Source organism: Homo sapiens, chromosome 3 (genome assembly GCF_000001405.40).
Source record: "Homo sapiens chromosome 3, GRCh38.p14 Primary Assembly".
Lineage (NCBI taxonomy): Eukaryota > Metazoa > Chordata > Mammalia > Primates > Hominidae > Homo > Homo sapiens.
The window spans coordinates 132,427,194-132,452,597 of record NC_000003.12 but is presented as its reverse complement, the minus strand read 5'-3'; the positions used below and the strand labels follow the sequence as shown (position 1 = coordinate 132,452,597).

At 36.1% G+C, this 25,404-nt stretch overlaps 1 protein-coding gene across 4 annotated transcripts in view; it reads right to left on the bottom strand.

Moving 5' to 3' along the window:
- DNAJC13 (DnaJ heat shock protein family (Hsp40) member C13) overlaps positions 1–25,404 on the bottom strand; it is a 121,531-nt gene that overhangs the window by 86,435 nt on the left and 9,692 nt on the right. For all 4 annotated transcript variants that reach the window (NM_001329126.2, NM_015268.4, XM_047447819.1 and 1 more), the window contains exons 2-6: positions 17,980–18,060; positions 6,048–6,123; positions 5,128–5,277; positions 4,659–4,700; positions 1,751–1,951 (exon numbers count right to left, since the gene is read on the bottom strand). In NM_001329126.2, the coding sequence (NP_001316055.1) occupies positions 1,751–1,951; positions 4,659–4,700; positions 5,128–5,277; positions 6,048–6,123; positions 17,980–18,047 (537 nt within the window). In that variant the 5' untranslated portion in view covers positions 18,048–18,060. The remainder of the gene's footprint in view (positions 1–1,750; positions 1,952–4,658; positions 4,701–5,127; positions 5,278–6,047; positions 6,124–17,979; positions 18,061–25,404) is intronic.

The following is a 25,404-nucleotide window of genomic DNA, read 5'->3' as shown; positions in this document are numbered from 1 at the left end:
AACATTTTGAACTTCCAGATTTGGTATGCTCAACCTGAACTTGCATTTGGTGTCTAGAGGCCAGAAATGCTCAATGTCCTGTAAAGGGCAGAGTAGGAGTGTCCCACACAAGAAAGAATTGTCCTCCTCAGAATGTCAACAGCTCCCCTGCTGAGAAACACTGGATCACATCGTGTTTAAGAACCTGGTTTTATTCCTAGCAGCTTTTTATAGTCACCATAGATGCAAAAGGTATTAGATAAAGGTTTGTTGAATAAATCTGGTATAGTACCATATTTATAGTGAATTGATTCATTTTAGCTAGTGTCTTACAGTGAGAAAGTGGATTAATTCAAATGAAAACTTCTTGCTGCCCCCAAGTAATACAAAATGTTGGCAATAAGAAGAGTATGAAACAATTTTCATCCTTAACGTTTACCTTATTATTCCATTTTATGGCTTGGTTGAATTACTGTGATACAGTTATCCTATTAAGGCCTGACAGGCCATATTCTTGTAATCAGGTATCTTTACCAACAAGATGTTAAACATTCCAAATTACCACTGACCAGGGAAGAGACAGTCTATGGATAGCACTAAGACAGCAGGCTTTGGGCTGGGAGAAGGGCCTTCATCTTTTGGGTCAAGCCTCAGAGGTAACACACAGAGGTTTACCTGTATGTTCCTAGATGAGGGAAACTAGGATGGTACCCATCAAGTGGGGAAAGAGTAAAATCTAAGATGGAAAAAGGCCTGTAACTCTGAAGAACCAACTATATTTCTACATCAGATTATCTAGCCCCCATCATTGTTTATTTCCCTTTTGCTAACATCTACTATCTTATATATGTAAAAGTTCAACGCTTGCTTTGGCTCTGCTACCAACAGAACGATATTTTATCTACAAAACACTAAAAATTGAAGGAGCATTCCCGGAACACTAAGGTAGCTACAAGAATTAAAATTTTCAAGAGAAAGGAATTTTGCAATTAAGTTCAAATGAGTCTCTCCATTTGGAGACTTTCTCTACCGCACATCTTTGAGACAGAAAGGCAGGATGTATCTTAAAAAAAAATAGTTATATATACTTCAGCTTCTATTACTGATTAACAGGGTTCTCAGCACCTTAAGTAGCTTCTGTTATACCCCATAATTTACTTATATATAATTCTGAATTTCAGAACAAAAACACGCAATGAATTCCAGATTGAAGTTTCAATGCATACTCAGATTTCAGATTATAAACAGCCAGGCAAAGGATGAAAGATTCTCAAAAAGTAAGTGATTTTAAATTACTTTTTTCATTTTTTTTTCCTTTTTGTGCAGAACAAGGTCTCACTATGTTGCCAGGCAGGTCTCAAACTCCTGGGCTCAAGCTATCCTCCTAACTCTGCCTCCCTAAGTGCTGGGATTATAGGTGTGAGCTGCCATGCCAGGCTTAAATTACTTTTTCAAAGAAAGCTTAGAAACTTTTTGGTAAGACAGTAATACCAATGAAAATAACAACTGTAGTCACTGTTTACCGTACTAAGCCATCCATTGTGTGTAAAGCATTTTACATAAATTATCTCACCAGATCCTCACTCTCCTCATTTTGGAAAGCAGCAAACTGGGATTCAAGCTCAGGTATCTTTGATACCAAAACCTGGACTATTATACTTCCTTCCAGAGGACTCACGTGAAATTTCAAAATGAAGTATAAAAAGCTTTGCTTTCCTTCAAATGGTCATGACCCTTTTAAAGTGTTTTTTTTTTTTAAAATAGTACTTACCAATCTACTAAATCCTCCATAAAGTATACAAAATCCTCCTTGATAATCTGAGAGATCTACAAATCCTTCAATATTTCTATAGTCATAGGAACAGAGTACTCTGTTGGTTGCAGGATTAATTTGGTCAAAGCCTCCTGGAGTTACTTCCAAAATTACAGGTTTTCTTGAGTCACTCCAGTGATGCTTATAGCAGTTGTATCTCTAAAGACAGAATCAGTATTACTTTTAGGTTCATAAAATAAAATCATATAAAATAAAATTTAATGTATCACAGTCACTATTGAAACGACCAAAAATCTAACTGTCATCGTAAATATTTAGAGCTACTATCCAAATTGTTAAAACTATGATTAATTTTAACTATTTGGAGGTGTTTAAGAATGTTCACACTAACTGAAGACAGTACATTCTTTTTTAATTAGCAAAGGGTTTGGGTTACAATATTTTATGAAGCTATTTTAAGCCACTCTATGTAAATTTATAAAAAGAAAAAAGAGGAAATCCTACATAGAAATGTATTCTGAAAGAGTTTTACTGGAAAAAAGATCTACTTTCTTTGATGGATTCTTTTAATCCAAGTTCAATAATGAAAAGAGCTAAGTCACATTTCAGGGAAGTTGTAATATTCAATTTAAACAACCTGAACCGCCTCAGTATATTAATGTATATTTTATTTCCACATACAAAAAAAAAAAGCTGAGGCCTGTATTTGACCTTAGGCTTTTCTAATCACACAACTGGAAAGTTATCTTCAAGATGTTTGATCATATTAGCAAGTAAAATTCCATTTAGATAATATTCCTTCACAAATTAAAGTAGCTGAGTGTCAGAAATTATTAGAATAGTCAATATCCATTTACTATCCAGTTTCAGTCTTTAAAAAGAAAAAAGGTTTAATCAAGGCTGCTAAGCAAAATGATGCGATACGGAAGAAGAAAATAAATTTAAAATAATAGAAAACTGAAGCAAAGAGAAAATAAGGATAACAAAGTTTCAGATGTGAAATGAGTATCCTCTCCCCCACCCAAACACCGCAGTTTTCTACCCATCAATATAAAGTGGGATACATGGTCAATTACAATTTTTAATGTAAAAATCAATTGGTTGCTCTGGAGTACAACTATTTCTGATACTGAAATAAGAAATTATCTTCTAGGTTTTCAGAAAAGAGAGTGAAGCACTAAGTAATGAACACCTCCACTAATATCCCAACACTGAAGTCAGCAATGACTTTCACAGGACATCAAGTCTCCTCAACATTACTGATCTATGCATCGAACACACACATAGTTCCATAAAAGTAATTATGCAGACAGACAAAGGGGCCTGCACTAATCCAAGAATACAGAACCTTGATTCTGAACCAAAAGATCAGTCAATGCCACACCTCTGCTGCAGGAATGGGAGAAGGCAGGGCACAAAAATTGTGGAGCTTTCCAAACTATACTTGTTTACATGCCTCAAGACCACTATATAGGATATTCTCCATTCCTCCCAGCTCATAAACAACTGCCATTAATGAGATGTGCTGATGGAAGCATCATTATCCCTCAGGATTGCAGGGGCCAACCAAGAAGGACTTTTGAGAAACCCTGATTTAGAAGTATATCTAGGGCAAATGGAGGTCTTAGAGCCAAATTCAACTTAGGCAAGAAGAGTGCCGTTTAGCCAGCACAGTATTTGGGGTGGAATCTAAACTTGTTATTAGGACAATACAGGTGTCACTTTGAGCCCCTTACTCCTGATGTAAAATCAGGTAAACTATCCTTTGGGCAATCTTCTAGAGGTACTGTTTCTACCACAAGATTTTGAAAAGTATTAAATGGCTGAAGTTAACTGGTACAAAAGACAGCTTATATAAAAATTCTAAGTATGCTTTTGAAAGCAGTTGTTTCCCAAACAGATGAGGTACGTCACCTGACAATATAGAATAATTAAAATAAGCACACCAAGTTATGATTTATAAAAATTTGACCATGGCTCATCAGGAACAAGAAATAAGCAGCTCGCCAGTTGCCATTAAACTATTTTTAAACGCTGCTGGGCAACCAGCCAATTGCTAGAGTTGAAATTAGTGAGGTTTCTGGGATGCTAAAAAAAGTAGCAGAATATTCATAGAAATATTCTATGAATGAGGGCTTAAGACAGACAGGAGAATGGTGCTGCCCGCATATCAGAATTCAGTTCCTGCCTTTTGCCAGAAGCTAGGGTTCTGAACAGTGCTATAAATTTAAGCATTATTTTTCTCCATTATAAAAGTAATACTTGCTAATGGGAAGAAATTTAATATCTCAAGAGAGTGAAAAAAGGTTACACTCCTGTTCCTCTTTCCCAGAAGTCTCTGATTTAGTTTAAATGCTGCTGTTACATTACTGGAAAAGGCCTGGGAAAGTTAAGACGACTCTGATATGCCACCACAGCTTCCTCCAAAGCTGTCAGTGCACCATGCCAAGCTTCAGTACAGGCCAGATCCAGTCCAAGAACATGTAAGAAGACAGTTTCAGTATGCTCAAATCTTAAAACTTGAATATTTCTGAAATAAGAAACTCCTACACCAAACAATGAATGAATGTTCCAACATGCACTATCAGCAGTATGACGTTCTCTGGTATTACTGTTTGGGATACTGCATAAGGACTACCTGAATGCTTATAGTGTTGCTTTTAATGCTCCAAAGGTTTTTTTGCCTTTTTTTCCCCCCATCTACCAGTATCAACATTCTTAAATCTAACTGTTCATATTTGAGTTTCCTGTTAAACTACATAACATGATATCAGGAGACATTACAATTTTGTTTCTTTTCCCTTTAGCTTTGCTACAAATGGAACACACAGATTATGAAATGATTTCTACAATAAAGGGCAACATTTGAACAAATAAAAATACATAATAAATGTTAAATATTTACCCTTCCTGTGATTTTTCCCTCTGAAAAATCAGTTCTAAATCTCTGAAAGAGAAAACATAACCACAGTTTATGACAACAGACTGGTAAGGAAAACTTGGCTCACTCCCTTCTACTCAAAGCAAGTAAAATCCTGACTTGGTAACCTGGACACTAAAAACTGTTATTCAAGTTATAGTTTAAGAATATTCAATAAAAAGAGTATGAAACCTTATTGAAGAACAAGATAAACATACAATGCTTTCTCCTGCATATGCAATTAAAAAAAACTAATAAACTTGCAAATATAAAAGATTTTCCAGCCTGTTAGAGAAAAGTGAACGTTTCACAGGGTCAAGTTAAAGGTCAGTAAGAAAAAAATAATCATAGTGGGTACAGGGGCAGAGAACATTAATTTCTCTACTTCTATGTAACTACTTCATTTTAAAAAGAGAAGAAAGAAATTTTATTTATGAACATGGAATCTTCTTACCAATGCTTCTGTAAGAAGTTCTGTTCTGTGCTCTGTAGAAAATTTTAAAGTTTCTGACTTTTTTCCACTGCCTTTACGAAATGTGAGGTTGAACTCCGTTCCTTGTCCTTTTCCAACAGGGCTGATGCTGCAAATGTCTCCATAAGGCCACTTAAAAAAAAAAAAATTTTGACTGGTGCTACTATAATACAGTAAAATGTAATGCTTATTTTTGTCACTTTAATTTCATAATCACTGATTAAATCAGCAAAATTTTATAAAATAGAGTCTAGAAATTGTGTCTTACAGTAATTCTGTAAAAAATTCTTTTAAAGGTTTTTAGTCAGAAAAATCCAATATGTATTCCTATTTTAATGATGACATTAATCCAAAGAAATTAAAATTAAAAAGTGATAAGAACTGGGAAGTGAAATTTTATGACTACTTAAAAATTTGTTAAAAAGTTTGTGAAACATGCCTAATTTGGAATTAAAATAGGCCAGAATATCTTTGAATATGTTTACTTATAAATGTTCAGGTTACTCTTGCCTTTATAAACCCATAATCCTACTCCCATGACGAGTATTTTACACTAACTGGACTCATGACTTATATATGCTTTTGTTACAGTAAAAAGTATAAGCCTTTATAAATTATAGAGAACTAAATTACTAATTTTACATAAAGGAGGTGGCCACAACTAATAGTAACATCAAGTTATACCCTTGAGAGCCCTAGAAATAAGCATATTCTCCCCCTCCTGTTTATTTATTATTTATTTTTGGTCCCCAAATCAGAGTATTATGTAAGCACATCAATCTCTTTCTGATTTGACATTTCTATCTTCAAGTACTGATTTAAGGGAGGGTAATGGTCACAGCCTGGCTTTTAAAATTCAAAGGGAGTTCATACAAACACCTAACAGCTTCTAACAGGATTACCTGATTTGTTACTTCTAAGGTATTGGGATTATATGTAGTAATCGCATGAGTTCCAACTGAAAAGACACGCTTATACCTACAAAGGAAAACAAGTGCTTAAATTTAGTTTTAAACAAAAAGATATTTTATAAGAAAATATATATAACACAAAACAAACAGTTCAATACATAGAAATGTGTTAGTTGATTAATGGTGACTAAATATAGCTTAGTTATATATTCTCACCTTTTTAAACATTCTAAAATGTTATTTTTATTAAAACCCACCCACTCATTTTACTGTGAACTATTAAGATATCTAAGTAGAAAAGTATGATTTATATGCAAGCAATCTTGTGTGATGTTAGTATAAATTAAGTTGGCAAAGCATCAGCTGAGGATGCTGAAAGATCCTAAATGGGAAAGTTTTATTAAAAAAAAAAAACACTGCATACCAATGCTTTCAAAATACCCTTACAACAAAGCCATATGGAAAGGAAGGAAAAGCTATGGCCTGGGGCAACTGGTCAGTCACAGCCATATCCTGGAATCTTAATAGTTTCTACTTAAGCAACTACCTATTACATCTCAGTGTTGCAATTTTATAGAAGTAGGAAGCCTACACCACAAACAAGCAGTTTTCACTTCTCACTTCATTTCCTTTCAAGTAACATATTTGAAGGAGAAAAAACATTTGGGTATCAGTAATCCTTCAAAAGAGAAAGGAATTCATAATCATAAAAGGAAATTGAATTAGAAAAACTTATTTAAAGCAAAATAATTAGTTCTTTGGAAATAAAATATTAAAATGGATAAAACATTAGTATATATAAAACAAAATTAAGGAAAACAAAGACTTCACACAACCAAAAGTTTTTTAAAATGCTGCATATAACTCTATGCTGACAAATTTGAAAATCAACCCTTCAATATAAGAATAAATCAACCCTTATATTGAAGAATTTAAGAAAGCTGCAAAGAATTACATCCTCCAAAAGCACCAGGCTCAAATGATTTCAAGACAGAAGAAACCTGAGGACCAAGTAACTCCCATGCTCCTTAAATTGTTGCCGAAAACTGAGTAAAAACAGCTTCTCAATTTTTTTAATACTACTAAAATCTGAAAAGACAATACAATAAGAAAAAAACCCACCAATCTATTTTCAAAGCTAATATTAGCAGTAACAATCAAGTCGCATTTTAAAATAGTAATACACCGTGACCAATTAGGTAAACACTTCAATATTAGAAAAATCTATTAACATAATTTGTTATATTTATTGAAATATCTAGTTGTATTTTAATACGAGATTTTTTTAATTATCAAAAATGCTTAAGTTAAATCAAATGTCTTTTTGACATCTACGGAGAGAATCATGTTTTCTTCCTTTGAACTATTAGTATGCTAAAAAGGCATTAATAACTTAAACAAACAGCCATGATCAGACTCAAAGGTAATACAATAAAAGTATTCCCATTAAGATCAAGAGAGATCTTTCACATTTTCATTTTTCTCTTGTCTATTTTTTAAAATCAGTATATTATAAAAATGAGAAAGTATTTCCATTTAGGTAAAAAGGAAATGATAAGATTTTATTAATCTTTACCACATATCCATATACAAAAGTATTGCTACATTGTGTTTTTTTTCCTAACTCTACATGTCTAAAGTGGAGTGAGAAACTAAAGAATTATAGCACTTCCCTCTAACAAAAAAGCAGTCATTTGCTTCTTTTTAAAGTGGAGTGAGGGTTAGGGGACTGGTGAAGTAAACAAGCTATCTAAAGAGCTTAAAAGTTTCAAAACTTCAAAGGCTTAATCAATTAATAGGAACTAAAACAAAGAAATAAGATTTTGCTCAGTCTTTGACTTAAAAGCTGCACAGTGAAATCAAATGTGTGATAAGAGATGTGAATTCACAAACTATTTTTCAAAATCACCCTGAAAGTCAAACATGAAACTCCTTACAATCCTGAAATAAAACTACAGAATTTGTTTATTTTATTCTGTGAGCAAAAAGTGAAAGAATGCCTGAAATGTTCCAAATGTAACTGCTGGTGCCATGTACAGTCTTAGAAGACTGGCTAAGAAAATATCCTTTTCAATCCTACACCAATCTTCACCACCACACCTAAGCCTCTTCTAATATCTTTCTCATATAATTCTGTCATCTAGATCATACTGTCAAAAGAACTTTGAGATGACAATATTTTAGACCTACATTGTCCAATAAGAAAGACTTTCTGACATGGCAAAATTTCCACTGTCCAATAAGGAACTAGTCCCCAACCTTTTTAGCACCAGGGACTGGCTTTGTGGAAGACAATTTTTCCATGGACAGGGCAGGGGGATGGTTTCAGGATAAAACTGTTCCACCTCAGATCGTCAGGCATGAGTTAGATTCTCATAAGGAGCACACAACCTAGATCCCTCTCATGTGCAGGAGGTGGATGGAGCTCAGGCGGTAATGCTGGCTCGCTTGCCCACCGCCTACCTCCTGCTGTGGGGCCCAGTTCTTAAGAGGCCAAAAACCTGGGCTTGGGGGCCCCTGCAATAAGGTAGCAATGAGCAAAGTGTACCTATTGAGCACTTGAAATGTGGCTAAGGCAACTGAATTTTACATTTTATTTAAAGTTAAATAAATAGCCACATGTAGTTAGCGGCTACCATACTGGAGAGATCACATTCTGGATCCCTCAGCAAAAGGATCCTGGAGTTGTATGCATGCTAGACCCAGCAGAGTACTGTCATAACTAGTAAACACGGAGCTATCTTTAAGCCATCCTAAGAAAGCTATTAAAAAAAGAAAATTCCTAAGAGAACTCCCTTCCCCTCCGCACTCCCTTCCTTAAGTACTCCCCATGCCGCTCCTCTTTTTAGAGTGGCTGTTGAACTTCCGCTTAAGGATGGGGCAAATATTTCTATGTCATTTAAGACATCTTTTTAAGCAAGCTTGAACTTCCAAAGATTACCAAAAAAGCCTCCCTGGATAACAAAGCTAAACTTTCAATGATTTTCTAAAAAGCCCCCTTAGATAACAGATTTAGAGATGAAAATATCTAAAATGTCTCGCATGTATAGAATATTAGTCACAACATTTACAGCTAAAAGATTTTTACCAGCAAAGCACAATGACTCACACCTGTAATCCCAGCACTTTGGGAGGCCGAGGCAGGAGGATCACTTGAGGTCAGGAATTTGAGACCAGCCTGGCCAACATGGCAAAAACCCATCTCTACTAAAAATACAAAAATTAGCCAGGCATGATGGTGGGTGCCTGTAATCCCGGCTACTCAGGAGGCTGAGGCAGGAGAATTGCTTGAACCCAGGAGGCAGAGGCTGCAGTGAGCCAAGATCATACCACTGTATTCCAGCCTAGATGAGACTCCGTCTCAAAAAAAATAAAAAAAAGATTTTTATCTTTTACTAAGTCAACAGTGTCCCAAGTCAAAGAAGAGACAAAGACTCCACGGATTCAGGGAGGCACAAGTCTTCTTCTTTGAGGCTAACTCCTACCACAGTACCCAGCATTGACTACAGTAGATACCCCAATAAATGCTTAATAGCTAGATAAAACAATCTATCCAAAAATATGTCAACATACAAATCTATGACCTATTAGCCTGCTCTTGCCTTTAAAGCAGAATGTCAGACAGCAAGTAATTTTACACCAATTTTTAAATTCATAGTATAACATCAGAAAAAAGACCTTTGCCCCCTAACTGAAAAATTAATATTCATATTGACTTTACCTACTGCACCTGTTTTCTTTTTATTCAGGCACTAAACTTACATCATTAAATGCCTACAAGAAGTAGGCATTTCTTAAGTTATCACAACTCACAAGCTTATTGTAATACAACAGCTTATTAAGAAACATAACTTATGTTACCATTAGGTATAATGTTATTTAGAATCAGGAAACAAATGCTGCTTAAAGAAATACAAGTGTTTGAGGCGACTGCTTTATCTGTGGGGCATTTTACTCCCCTGCAATTGGTGACAAAGAAAAAGAAAAAAAAATGTTGTGCTGATGATAGTATTGGTGGAGATAAGATCATCTGAACAGGAAAACCACTGAGGCAAAAGCTGGGGATGTAATCAAGTTTTGGATTTGATAAGGTGATGCTTATATTTTTTAACAGACAGATTAAACATATTAATTTACATCAAAACACTTCTAAATTATTTTAATTCCTGAAAATAAAAATGTTACAGCATTCTTAAGTTTTCTAGTTCTTATGAATACTGCTTTCCTCTTTTAAACAATTTTTGTGGCCGGGTGCAGTGGCTCACGCCTGTAATCTCAGCACATCGAGAGGCCGAGGCGGGAGGATCACTTGAGCCCCAAGACCAGCCTGGGCAAGATGGCAGACCCCATGTTGAAAAAGACACACACACAAAAAAACCAACAATTTTTTAAAACATGTTTTTTTTTTTTTTAACATATGGCATTTTATAGCATGATTTTTTTTTACATATGGTATTTTATAGCATGATTTTTTTTTACATAAGGTATTTTATAACAAGATTTTTTTACATGTTTAGGCAAAATAAAAAAAAAAACCAATGTGTTAGGTCAGATACTCTATTAGGTACTATAATGGATTAAATGAGTATCTGACACTGTGCTGGGTTCAATAATATGACAGTGAATAGGAGTCCTTTAAAGACTCAGTTTCCTCCCAACATTTTACTAGTTATCTAATTCAAACATCTGAAATAAACTTCAAAGTAATAAGAGCTAAGATTCTTGTCACTGTCTCAAAGTTAATTTCTGACTCGAATATTTAACTAGCTTCTATCAATCAGGCATGTAAAATAGTGTCAACAGAGATACTACAAAAATACTGGTCGCCATCATAACATCTATTATATTCTTCTGCACAGAAAATCCATGTAATTCAGTATTATAATAGAGAAAATTCAACATTTTTGTAAACTGAGAAAGTTTACGTTTACTATAAAATAATGGTTCTCAAATTCTTGACGTCGGAAAATTTCTGTGTACCTGTATTACTTTTAAAGTTCAAGATCCTCAATCCCTTCAGTGGAGAATCTACGCCAACAGGCTTCAAAGAAGCCAAACAGAGCTAATCAAAGTTAGAAGACAGCTTTTATGTTACACACTCTAGATCTCATAACACACAGCATAAACCTTTATAATACTGTAGGCAAGGTTGTCTAGTTATAATTGTTCACTACTGGCTGATGCAAGGAAACTAACATATCTTAACTGAAAGCAATTCTATTCATGTCCCGGTATTGTAGATATTGACAACTGTTCCCTAGAAGTAAGCCAACATCTACTTCCCCACAAATTTTACCTGCTGGCCCAAGTTCTGTCTTTCAGCTGCACACAGAGCATACCTAATTCTTCTGCCAGTCAGACCTTCCATTCGAATTCTTTTTCCTAGGCTGAATATCCTAGTTCCCTTGGCCATTTTAAAACAAGTTTTGGCCACCAATTTCTTGAAGCCTTTAGGATACTCATGGAACCCAGGATTTTTCCTTTTATCATTAAAAGCTTGAGAATCCAGTAACTTGAACTAAAATTTGAGTCCATCTAATAATGAAATTAAGGATAACTGACCTACAACATTTCTTAGGAGATTAATGGTCAGCATTGGTAAAGGAGGCACTACAGCTTAATGGTTAAGCACACCAACTCGAGCCACATTGCCTGGACTACTCACTAGCTGTGTTTTCTCTGATAACTTCCTTAACTTCTCTAAGCTTTGGTTTCCTCGACTGAAAGATATGGATAATACATACAGTCATGCGTTGCTTAACAATGGGAATCAATTCTGAGAATCTGTCATTAGGTGACTTCATCATTATGTGACTATCACAGATTTCTTCCCAAAATTCTGTATGTAAATTACTAGTTTTGTACTTACACAAACCTAGATAGTATAGCCTACTACACTCCTAGGCTACAAGGTATAGCTTATTGCTCCTAGTGTACAACGTTACTGTACCTAATACTGTAAGCAGCTGTAACACAATGGTAAATATCTGTGTATCTAAACATATGGGATCATCATATATGCAGTCCATCATTGATGGAAATGTTATGTAGTACATGACTGTATATCTACTTCACAATGTGAGAAAAGAAATAATCCATGTAAAGTACTTGGCACTTATGTGCCTGGCTAATGAGTATAACAGTCAATAAATGTTAGCTATTCCTATTGCTATTATTCCACTAGTTGACTAACGGAGAGTGGGGAATCCCAAAACTCCAGTAGAATAACTGAACAAATTATAATTAGTACATTTATGTTTTAAAGTAGCCATAACTGCTTTTTTTGAGATGGAATCTAGCTCCATTGCCCAAGATGGAGTGTAGCGGCGTAATCTCAGCTCACTGCAACCTCCGCCTCCTGGGTTCAAGCAATTCTCCCATCTCAGCCTCCTGAGTAGCTGGAACTACAGGCCTGCGCCACCACACCAGATAATTTTTGTGTTTTTAGTAGAGATGGGATTTCACAATGTTGGCCAGGCTGATTTTGAACTCCTGACCTCAAGTGATCCTCCAGCCTTGGCCTCCCAAAGTGCTCGGATTATAGTCGTGAGCCACTGCGTCCAGCCCATGACTGCTCTAGTGTATTCATATTCAAAACAAAGAACAAAATTAATGGGCAAACTGATCGTTCATCTGGTTGTATTGCCAGGATACTCTGTAGTGGAAACTTGACTTGAAACATCAGTTTCACCAAGGAGGGCTCATTCAGATAAAAAGTTGTACTCCTCAGAAAAGAAAAAGAAGAAATGGATAGGACATACTCTGCAAATATCTGTCCTAAAAGCTCAGTAAGAGCTTTAGAAGAAATAAAAGGGCATCCCATGAAATGTAATATTTTAAGGCCTTAAATTCCATGATGCAATGTCTGTATCTTTTCCAGCTCGGATGGAGCTAGCTTTCAACACAACATTTTGTGAAAAACATAAGATTCCGATAAAGGAGATGTGATCCAATTTGCAATTCTAGGTAAGAGATGTTCAAGTCCCAGGTTGCCTGATGATAGTCACAAAAAATTAGACAAAGAAAACACAAAAGAATTAAGGACAGCTCATCTGAGTTTTAAAGACTGGCAGGGTCAAGAGCGAGGGGAAAAAAAAAAAAACAAAAAAAACCCCTCAGTATTCCTGGAGGTTATGAGGATGGGTGAGGTGTGTAAATGCCAGGCAGCAAAAGAAAAAGATATCTTTTCTCTTGTAGAACTCCATTCCTACATATAAGAAAGGTATTAGAAATTCACTAGCTTCCCTTTGTCTCAGCACTTCTCTCAATTTCCTGTATCCAGTTATTACAGAAACTATGAATGTAGTGAGCTTCTGTTATTAAATTTCATAGACTGATCATTACATATCCTAATGCATTGAGGTGAAAATCCTGTTTAGATACCAAAATGATACTCTAAATTCACAGCATTTCCTACAATTAATGTATGCAATATTAAGGTGATCCACAGGTAGATTTTACTTATAAATTTTTATCCAGAAAAAATTGAGAACCTGTACCTTGAATATCACTCTGAAGTTTTTCCACAGTGAATCTGCACTTCTGCTTTAACTGAAACATCTGAACTTTCCTTCCTCTCTGAAATGGCTTACTTAGGCCAAAACAGAAATTTTTCTCCTTCATGAAAGAAAAGTGCCTTTTCCCCCCTGAATCTACTCTCCTTTTCTTGCTCCTCCCAGAATAAACATATAATTAAATTATGTCTATACAAGTTGGAAAAATGAAAAGCGCAGAAGAAGCTACTTTGCCAGCTAAGGCATCCATACCGATGATCAACAGACCCTAAATAAAGGCATTCAGCAGCTATAAAGTGAGGTAATAATGAAAACTACTACAAAGGTAACAGAAATGGGTCACACAAATATCTTCAAGGGGAATACCTGGACAGGTTATCTTAATTTTGACATATGAAGAGAAGAAAAAATATTTATACATCTTTACTTCCACAATCAATAAAATCTTTCTGAAATGCTGGGGCTAGGTTAGCAACACGGAAATAGGCATGGAGTCTCTTAAAACTGAGGCCCTAAATCCCAAAAATCACAAAAAATTTGTTGTACGTAGACATGTTTCTAGAGACAAGGTTCAATTAACTATTCTGAAACAACAGAAAATTTTAATGTTGGCCATTTATTTTTTACATTAACACTGCTGATGAGTACTTTAAACCTAGATTAGAATTGGCCATATAAAATAGGTAAGTATAATAAAAAGTCTCAGTGCCATTTAATAATGTATATAACCCAATGAAATGATAACTATCACCATCTGGAAAATGTAAACTCTTTCAGGGAGAAGTTAAGATTCAAGGTGTATACACTGAAATCAACAGAACACTGTTGAAAGAAATTTTAAAAGATGTAAATAAATGAAAACACATGTTCATGAATCAGAAGACAATGCTGTTAAGATGGCAATACTCCACTAATGGATCTACAGATTCAATGTAATGCCTACCAAACTGTCAGCTGCCTTTTTTTTTTTTTTTTTTGAGACACGGTCTTACTCTGTCGCCCAGGCTGGAGTACAGTGGCATGATCTCTGTTCACTGCAGTCTCCGCCTCCAGGGTTCAAGCAATTCTCCCACTGCAGCTTCCCAAGTAGGTAGGACTAAAGGGGAGCGCCGCCATGCCCAACTAATTTTTGTACTTTTTGGTAGAGACAGGATTTCATCATGCTGGTCAGGCCGGGCAGCTGTCTTTTAAAAAAAAATTAACAACTGACTCTAAAATTCATATGGAAATGCAAGAGACCAGGAATACCCAAAATAATACTGAAAAATAAAATTCAGAGACTCGTATTTCTAAGTTTCAAAACAGCACAAAGCTATAATAATCAAGACAATATGGTACTGGCATAAGGTTAGGCATACAGGATCAACAGAACAGAATTATGAGTCCAGGAAAAAACTAAACAGTCATGGTAAACTGATTTTTGACAAGGGTGTCGAAACAATTCAAGTGGAAAGAACAGTTTTTTCAACAAATGATGCTGGCACAACTGGATATTCACATGCAAAGGAATGAATTTAGAACCCTACTTCACACCAAATACAAAAATTAACGCAATTAAAGCTATACAGCTCTTAGAAGAAAACAAAGAAGTAAATCTTTGTTAGCTTGGGTTAGGTAATGGCTTTTTAGATTACCAAAAGCACAAATGGCAAAAGAAACAATTGATAAATTGGATTTCATCAAATTAAAAGCTTTGTGCTCCAAACAATACCATCAAGAAAGTAAAAAAATCTGAAGAATTGGAGAAAATATTTGCAAATCATATACACGGAACTTTTATTCAGAATATATAAAGAACTCTCACAATTCAGTAATAAGACAACCTAATTTAAAAGTGAATAAATGACTTGGCTGAGCGCAGTGGCTCACACCTGCAATCCCTGTACTTTGGGAGGCTGAGGCGGGCGGATTACTTGAGGTCAGGAGTTTGAGACCAGCCTGGCCAACATGGTGAAACCCTGTCTCTACTAAAAATACAAAAATTAGCTAGGCATGGTGGCATGTGCCTGTAATCCCAGCTACTCGGGAGACTGAGGCAGGAGAATTGCTTGAACCCATGAGGCAGAGGTTGCAGTGAGCCGAGATCAGCACTCCAGCCTGGGCAACAGAGTGAGACTCTGTCTCAAAAAGAAAAAAAAAAAAAAGTAAAATAAAAAAAATTTTTTTAGTTACAGTGAATAAATGATTTCAATAGATTATTTCATCAAAGAAGATACACAAATGACCTACAAACACAAGAAAAGATACCCAACATCATGAATCACTAGGGAAATGAAATCAAAACTACAATGAGAAGCTACTTCGTACCTACACTAGGATGGCTAAAATAAAAAAGACAATAAGTGTTGATAAGGATATGGAGCATTTGGGACTCAGACATTGAAGGTGGAAATGTAAAATGCTGCAGCTACTTTGGAAAACAGTTTGGCTGTTCATCAAAAAGTTAAACAGAGTTACCACATAACCCACCAATTCCACTCTTAGGTATATACACAAAACAACTGGAAATATGGAAACATTCACAGTGGCATTATTCATAATAGTAAAAGAGTAAGAACAACACAAATGTCTGTCAGTTGATGAATGGATAAACAAAATGTAGTATATCCATACAACAGATTATATGACATTAATGAAATGAAGTACTGACATGCTATAATATAGACGACCTTGAAAACATTATGCTTAATGGAAGAAGTCAGTCAGAAAATACAGCATTTTGTATCATTCTATTTATATAAGATGTTCCAAATAGACAAATCCAGAGACAGGAAGTAGATTAACGCCTGCCAAAAGAGGGGGAAAAAGGGAGTTAACTGCTGATTTGTAACGCAGTGTTTAGAGGAAGTTTTTTGCAGGGAAGGCGAGGTGATGAAAGTGTTCTCAAAACAGTGATGATGGTTTACAACTTTATGAATACACTAAAATCCGCTGAATTGTATACTTTAGAAGGGTGAATTTTATGGTATATAAGTTATGCCTTAAAGCTGTTATAAAAACAAAACCAAGTCTCAAGGCCTAAAAGAATTACGCTAAGAGCACACAAACAGTTGTACTCTGAATTATTACGAGGAAAAAAGAGGATAGTTAAGTCTTAGTCACTACTCTAAGAACATTACCAAAAATTTTGATGATCACAGTTACTTACAAGCTCACAAATCGAAAAGCATTGCAGTAAGTTTGTTCTTTAGAATGTATCAGTATGTTATAATCATATTAAAAACGGAAGTCATATTATGATGACCAAAGTAATCTACCACTTGAGGAAAAAATAAGGATTATTTAAAGATATACTTTTCTAAGGTTGATTCAAAGAACTAAAATGACTCATACTACCCTGGATATGCCACTTTTCTCCCTAACTTCACTCATTGAAACTAACTAGGGGGAAAAAAAATGAGAGACAAGTATTCTAAAGGGTAACAACTATTCTAATTTAGGAGTTCATACAATTGAGCTATTAGACAACAAAATCAAATATTCAAATCTTCCAAAATTATAGGCAGTTTGCTAATGCAAACCAGAAATACTAGACAGCTCAGATGTATACCACATCCTAAGAAGTTACCACTCCAGTGACTAAAAAATGAAAAGTTGAGAGAAGAAACACTTACTGGCTTTGTGCATGTGTCACATTTTACCTTGTGGCACGATTCAGAATAATGTGGTCACTGATTTGTAAAAGTGTGACACACTCATTTTACTTATTACTGATCAAAGGGACCAGAGACTAAACTTTTGTAATGGTCAACAGATGCCATTCACTGAATACTCAATATATTTGAGGCATAATTTTAAAACTTTCATACATGCCATATCACTTCATTTAATCCTTACAAAAATCTGAAGGGTAGGAATTACCAACCATCTTACAGACAGGAAACAGAAGCACTTACATTTTGGTCTGACTAGGAAGCTACTAAAAAATGCCATCACTCCCTCCCAAAGAAAATATATTAAACCCAATTTTTAAATTTCATTACAGGCCTAAAAAAAGGTTAGACTTCACTAGAATGGCATATTTTCTCCGACAGTCAAACGGATATGAAAATGTTGGCTACAGACAGGTTAGTCACTGGGTAACAAAGATGTAGGGTTAACACTCTGCTACTACTATATAACCTCATCATTAATTGATAGCATACAAGAGCGTGGATTAACTGGTTTACTTTCCTTTTAACTGTCACTTTTAATTCTTACCAAACTCCTTCCCAAGAAAGATACTGAAAACTGGAAATGTCAAAAGAAAAAAAAATACATGTAGCATTTACATTTATAATATGCACGTTTTTCAGAAGAGAAGGGCTGTATAGCCTGAGTTGTGCAGTATTATTCAAGATTATGAAACACAGTAATGTTTAAAATATTTTATAGAAGCACAGAAAAAAAAACCCAACAAGAATACTTACTTCCCCCTCCATGAATGTTTTGTTGTGTAGAAACATGCCAGATCCTTATTTTCCCTAATTATGTTCATTTTGTGCTCAAACCTGGAAGATAAAAATATGAGGGCACTTAGTACATGTTATATATCTTTAATCTTTCCAAGATTCCCCTAAGAAAGGTAGCAAGATCGCTCTCTCACTTTCACAGCCTGCCGTATATCCTTTACAAGACCATAAGGTTTTGTTTTTTTTTTTTTTGAGATGAGTCTCGCTCTGTCGCCCAGGCTGGAGTGCAGTGGCACGATCTTTGCTCACTGCAAGCTCCGCCTCCTGGGTTCAGGCCATTCTCCTGCGTCAGCCTCCCAAGTAGCTGGGACTACAGGTTCCTGCCACCACGCCCGGCTAATTTTTTTGTTTTTTGTTTTTTTTTTTTGAGATGGAGTCTCGCACTGTCGCCCAGGCTGGAGTGCAGTGGCGAGATCTCGGCTCACTGCAAGCTCCGCCTCCCGCGTTCACGCCATTCTCCTTCCTCAGCCTCCAGAGTAGCTGGGACTACAGACGCCTGCCACCACGCCCAGCTAATTTTTTGTATTTTTAGTAGAGACGGGATTTCACCGTAGCGAGGATGGTCTCGATCTCCTGACCTCATGATCCTCCCGCCTTGGCCTCCCAAAGTGCTGGGATTACAGGCGTGAGCCACAGCGCCCGGTCAAGACCATAAGGTTTTTAAAGACGGGGACTGGTCTATTCAACTCTTTATCATAACCTTTAGCACCATATTGTGATTGTCCAACTCTCTCCCACACTGGACTGTGTTTCTTGAGGACCAGAAATGACCTCTATCAACATCCCCAGTGTACAGAATTTTTAAAATGTCAAATAAATAAAGCTTTAAATCTGACATTGCCAAATAATGCCATGGCACACAATGGATACCTAAACACATTTTCCAAGAGTCAAACCAGTTCCAAAAGTTTTTTGGTGAGCTACTAAGTGCTGGCCATTTTGCTGACACTACCACTTCAAAGGGGACCTACTATAAATAAGGCAATTTAAAAATAATTTTCTCGCTGGCACAGTGGCTCATGCCTATAACCCCAGCCATTCTGAGGCTGAGGTGGGAGGATCGCTTGAGACCAGGAGTTTGAGACCAGCCTAGACAACATAGTGAGACGTTCTCTCTCAAAAAATAAAAGTTAACAGGGCATGGTAGCATATGCCTACACTCCTAGCTACTTTTCAGAAGAGAAGGGCTGAATAACACTATTGAGTAGTGTGGTATTATTCTGAGGCTGAGGTGGGAGGATCACTTAAACCCAGGAGTATGAGGCTACACTGAGCTATGATTGTGCCACTGTACTCCAGCCTGAGTGATAGAGTGAGATTCTGTTTCTAAAAATAGAACAATTTCCTCATTATAAAAGTGATATAGGTCCACAGTAAGAAATCTAAAATGTTCAGAAAGCAAATCATCATTCGTCCTTGTATCTGAAGATAATCATTTTAGCCTTCCTTTTTATATTTAGAAAAATCCTTATTTAAACAAGATTGCCATTTGTACTGCTTAACCTGTTTGCAAAGAATGTTAACCTTTCCCCATGTAATTATTCTATAAGAAAATTATTTTTAAGGCTATATGGTATTCCACTTTATGAATATTCCAGAACAGTGCCACTCAAAGCATAGTTGCAAATGGTTTGTTTCCAAGCCACATCAAGGAAAGTAAAGAAATTGAGATTAAGTGTTTAGAAACTTCTATGGCGGTTTGATTAATGCACTCCTCTGGTTGAACAGGATATAGAACAGATCAAGATTGTTGAATCTGTGTGATGACTCACTCGTGGAATCAGCCTCCTAACAGTCACATGCAATGAAACCACATTATGTACAATATTCATTGACTGTAACTTAGTATATAAAATCCAGAATCCATTTATTTCATCTAAAAAAGGTAAACTTAGCTAATTTTACAGGATAAATTGTTGGAACTGGCTGCTAATGAAAGACTGATAGGTTTTGAAAATACTGTATCACTTACTTCATTTTGAATAAAAGTTAAATATGGTTATTTCTTTTGTGACTTAGCTATTTCTCCCTTGCCTTAATAGTTAGAAATGCACTCTAAAAAATATTGTAGAGGCCGGGAGCGGTGGCTCATGCCTGTAATCCTAGCATTTTGGGAGGCTGACATAGGTGGATCACCTGAGGTCAGGAGTTAGAGACCAGCCTGGCCAACATGGTGAAACCCCATCTCTACTAAAAATACTAAAAAATCAGCCGGGCGTGGTGGCAGACGCCTGTAATCCCAGCTACCCGGGAGGCTGAGGCAGGGGAATCTCTTGAACCCGGGAGGTGGAGGTTGCAGTGAGCCGAGATCGCACCACCGCACTCCAGCCTGGGTAACAGAGCAAGACTCTGTCCCCCCCCAAAAAAACAAAAACAAAACAAAACAAAAACAAAAAAATTTGTAGAAAATACACCAAAGTGCTAATACAAACTGAATAGTTGGAATTCTTTAAGCTTGCTTTATATCTTTTTATACTGTGAATACTAAGTCAGCAAGTATTTTTTACATAATTAGAAAAAACTTTTCAGAAAAAAAATTTTTATAACGGCTTGAGACATAATTCACATACCACAAATTCACTCTTTTAAAAAGTATACAATTTGGTGATTTTTAGTGTATTTAGAGTTCTGCAACCATCACCACTATTTTCGGAACACTTGCATCACCCCAGTAAGAAACTCTGTTAGCGGTCACCCCCCATTATACCTCAGCCTCAGCACCTAGCAGCCACTAATCTACTTTGTCACTGTGGGTTTGCTTATGCTGGTCCATACTGCCAAGTAATATTCTGGTATATGGATATACCTATTTTATCCATTCGTCAATTGATGGACACGGGTGTTGTTTCTACCTTTTGGCTATTATGAATAATACAACTATGAACAAGCATATATGAGTTTTTGTGTGAACATACATACTCATTTCTCTTAGGTATATACCTGAGTGGTAAAAACATTTTTTAAAAGATACCCTTATTTTGAAATTGCTGTCTTCATTCGTCCTGCTTGTTTTTGTGTTATTACCAATTATCGAGAGCCTTTGTACTATACATAGAACGCTCACCCCCTGGATATTTATATGGCTTATACCTCTATCTCCTTCAAATCTGTGTTCAAATGTCACCTTTCCAATGATGCCGACCCTAAACATCTTGTTTTAAATTGTAACCACCCTCTCCTCATTCTACTTAAATTGTAACCACCCTCCTCCTCATTCTACCCTATTCCCTCTTACTCTTGTTTTTCCCCCATAGCACTTTCCACATTCTAATGTGCAATTTATTATTCACCTAATTCTACTGGAATATCCAGAGAGAGGTAGTTTTGTCTGTTCAGCTCACTATTGTTTCTACAGAGGCCACAAGAGTGCCTGATACAAAACAGGTGCTCAAAAATAAGTATTTGAGTTAAGGAATAAAATTCAGCAAATACATGGGCAATTCTGATATCTACTTCAAACCTGATGCTCTAACAGGGACTCCCAAATAGGGTTTTGTCAAACCTTCTGGAAAGGCATCAGCAATTCATGCTTTGAAAAATAACAAAAGGAACCACAAGTAACACCAAGTTTAAAGAAGCTTTTATTGTTACCAGAAAGAAGAAATTTCTTACAGTCAACTAACATCTTCCTGCTAGTGAGTATAGGGACAGCTAAATGTAGTCCTGACAGTTGGTATGGTGTTTTGTTTGTCTGTTTCTGGATTTCATACCTGGGATGACCAAAGCACCCAACTAAGATTTATTAAACCCAGTAAGAATTATCCCTGCCTTCTGAATCTTTTGCAGTAAATGATATTGCTGAAAAGAAACCTGGGCAGTATCTCTGAAGACTCACCAAAAAAGGGAGAGAGAGAGATATATAGGTGTACGGATATTTTTCCCCTATATAACTGAAGAGTGGAACAATGGGAAGAGAAAGGCAGATAGAAAAGGTGAATGGCTGATACTGAAGAATGGGGTTTGTATTCCTAGTCTAAACTTAAGATATTGGAATAACTGACTCTGTACCAAGGGCCTATCTTGGGAAAACTGAGAAACAAGAAAATGTGTTGAGTGGAGACTGGTTGATAAAATTAAGGATCTAAAAATTAAAATGAAAGGCAGAGAAAAATAAAGATTTTAAAACGACAACCATAAAAAACACGGGGCATGACCCAGAAGGAATAAAGATCCCTAATAAACCCATAGGGGGGAATAAGAACAAAATAATCTCATAATAACAAAAGAAATATAAGAATTATTAAATAAATTTTTTAAATAATTTAAAAAATAAACACCTAAAGAATGACCTCATAGGTACCACTGATTTGGGGTTATAGAACTCCAACAGACCTTTTGGGACATGAATTAAATAACTTTACATCAAGAAGGCTTTTGAAGGTCTATAAACCTGAAGATGATGAAAGCACCAGACTCCAGAGAGTCCTTAGGACAGATAAAAGGAGTATGAGAAGATATAACACATTAAGATAAAAGTAAACTACCAATGACCTGGCCTATTAGAATAAATATTGTATTCCTGATGCAGATGAGAATGCTGACAGAAAACTAGTGTAGGAGGAAAGTAGTAGTACTTCAGTTCTCCAGAAGTTCATATCATCAGTACAAGTTCCTATGTCCAATATTTGCACACCTGATAATTTTCTGTCTCTAATATTTAAGAAAGCAACAAGTGATGTTTTACTCTGCATCCAATAAAAGGCTAGTAAAATGGGCTTTTTATGGAAGAAAATTGCTCCTCTATTTGAAAAGCCTGTCTTCAACTACATTATATTTATGTAAGGGTATATCTGAGAGGTAAGGGAGGGAAGAGACACCCCACTAACTAGCCAAGTCAACCCCAGAAATAGTGGAATAATTCAATGCTATATTACCATCTGCCTAACCTCAAAATGGAAATCAGGATAATGCTTTTCCATTTTAAAACTCCATTGAAGACTGCCTTTAATAAAGGTAGGGAAGCAAGGTGACTCTAATCTGAAAATTTATGACATGTCCTGAAATTATTAAACAACTTATATTGAATACTCATCACATGTTGGTGTTCAGCCTATGCATTTACCATGCATTTATTTCATTTTGTCCCCATAACAACACTGCAGTACAGGTATGACTCTCATTTTATTGACAAGAAAACTGATAAATCACTTTTCTAAGGTAACACAGCTGGTAAGCGATTGGGCCAGACTTTGGACTAACCTCCTTAACTTCTACACCCTAGGTTCTTAACCTAAACTTTAATACCTTCCCTCAACTTTAAGGAAAAAAAAAAACTTCACCCTGACCATGTAATTACAGATGTATCATTTGACTGCAAATTCCTGGAATAATTCAGAACTAGTTTCGGTTATTATCTTCATCTGGACAGATGATACTTGTTAGAAATAACTTTGAAATCTACAATTTTAAGCAGTAAAACAAATTACCATATTCAACATAGGACAAAAGAAATAAAAATAAGTCTCCAAAGCTGAAATATTCTATCATCTATAAATAAACTTTCAAAATATTTCCTTCTTTATATAAGCTTAAAAAACATTTTTTGGCTGGGCGCCGTAGCTCACGCCTGTAATCCTGGCACTTTGGGAGGCCGAGGTGGACAAATTACAAAGTCAGGAGTTTGAGACCAGCCTGGCTAACATGGTGAAACCCCGTCTCTACTAAAAATACAAAAATTAGCCAGGCGTGGTGGAGAATGCCTGTAATCCCAGCTACTTGGGAGGCTGAGGCAGGAGAATTGTTTGAATCCAGGAGGCAGAGGTTGCAGTGAGCCGAGATGGCACCACTGCGCTCCATCCGGGCTGACAGAGCAGGACTCCGTCTGGGGGGAGGTAGGACATTTCTTGACAAAGTGTTCAAAACAAACATACAATGACAAAAATTTGTTACCAATATATGATCTCAGGATACTCTTTAAAGAGAGTTCAATTACTCTAACCAACATCGAGCTTTTAAAATAACCAGATTGGCTAGGCACCATGTCTCATGCCTGTAATCCTAGCACTTTGGGAGGCTACTGTGGGAGGATCACTTGAGTCCAGAAGTTTGAGACCAGCCTGGGCAACATGGCAAGACCCCCATCTCTATTTAAATATAAATTTTAGATGAAAAAAAGATAAGATAACCAGATAAATGAGATCTGAGGCTGAGATCTATTTCCCGGCAGTGTAATATTAGCCTATCCACATTTTCAGGTAAATCTATTTTACATTCTCAGTAAAATCTTAACTATTGTTTGATAAAGTCATTTCAGCCAATGAATGGCAAGTGGTCTGGAAACTGCATTAACTCTTTTAGACCACGAAGATACTTTTAGACACGCACGTAACTCGCTAATGAAGGTAATGGCAATGCACAAAGATCAGAAAATGTACCAACTATGTATCATTCAAAGTGAGAGGTAGAATAATTTCAAGATAATAATTGGCAAATGAGTGAAGACAAGTCTAGAGGTCCTCCAAGTACAGTAGTCAGGAATCATTCAATCTGGGAAGACCCTGGAATACCTCCCTAGGGCACTGATCACAGAGCTGCCATTCCACATGCTATACGTTAACTAGAGACTAGCACAACAGGCTACATTAACATTCCATTAAAATGATGTTAATAATCTATTTATTACCAAGATAAAGCTGGAGAATTTTTATAACTGCCATTTACTGGCTGCGTGACTTTGAACAAAAGTTTCTGAATTTATCTGAATTATAGTACGTCTATAAAATAGGAATAACTGTCCCGAAGGGCTATGGTGAGGACTAAATGAGATAACCCAAAAAAAGAAGTTATTTTGGGTAATTCTACTATATCTTATTTTCAAGAACTTACCAGCTCTTGTACCTAATACAGCATTTTGGGGGGAAATTCTATTAAATTACTTGATTTTCTCTAAATCTTTTATTAATTTCAATCCCTCTAGTATGCAATAGATATCACCTAGAATGTTCACCTTCAAAAGTACAGTGTTCTATTGATTTAATCAGCATTCACTTTTACTTAACCATTCAAAAATAACTATAACAATATATATTTCTTAAACTGAATGATGTACATGAGGATGCCATTTATTATTGTTACTGTCATTATTATTTTATTGTTACAATTTATGTTTCCCATAAAACGTTTTTAAAAAGAAAAAAATATTGCCGGGTGCGATGGCTCACGCCTGTAGTCCCAGCACTTTGGGAGGCCAATGCAGGCAGATCGCTTGAGTCCAGGAGTTCAAGACCAGCCCAGGCAACATGGCAAAACCCTGTCTCTACTAAAAATACAAAAAATTAGCTGGGTGTCATGGCACAGGCCTATAGTCCCAGCTACTTGGGGGGCTGAGGTCAGAGGACCACTTGAGCCTGGGAGGCTGAGGCTGCAGTGAGCGAGCCCTCATCT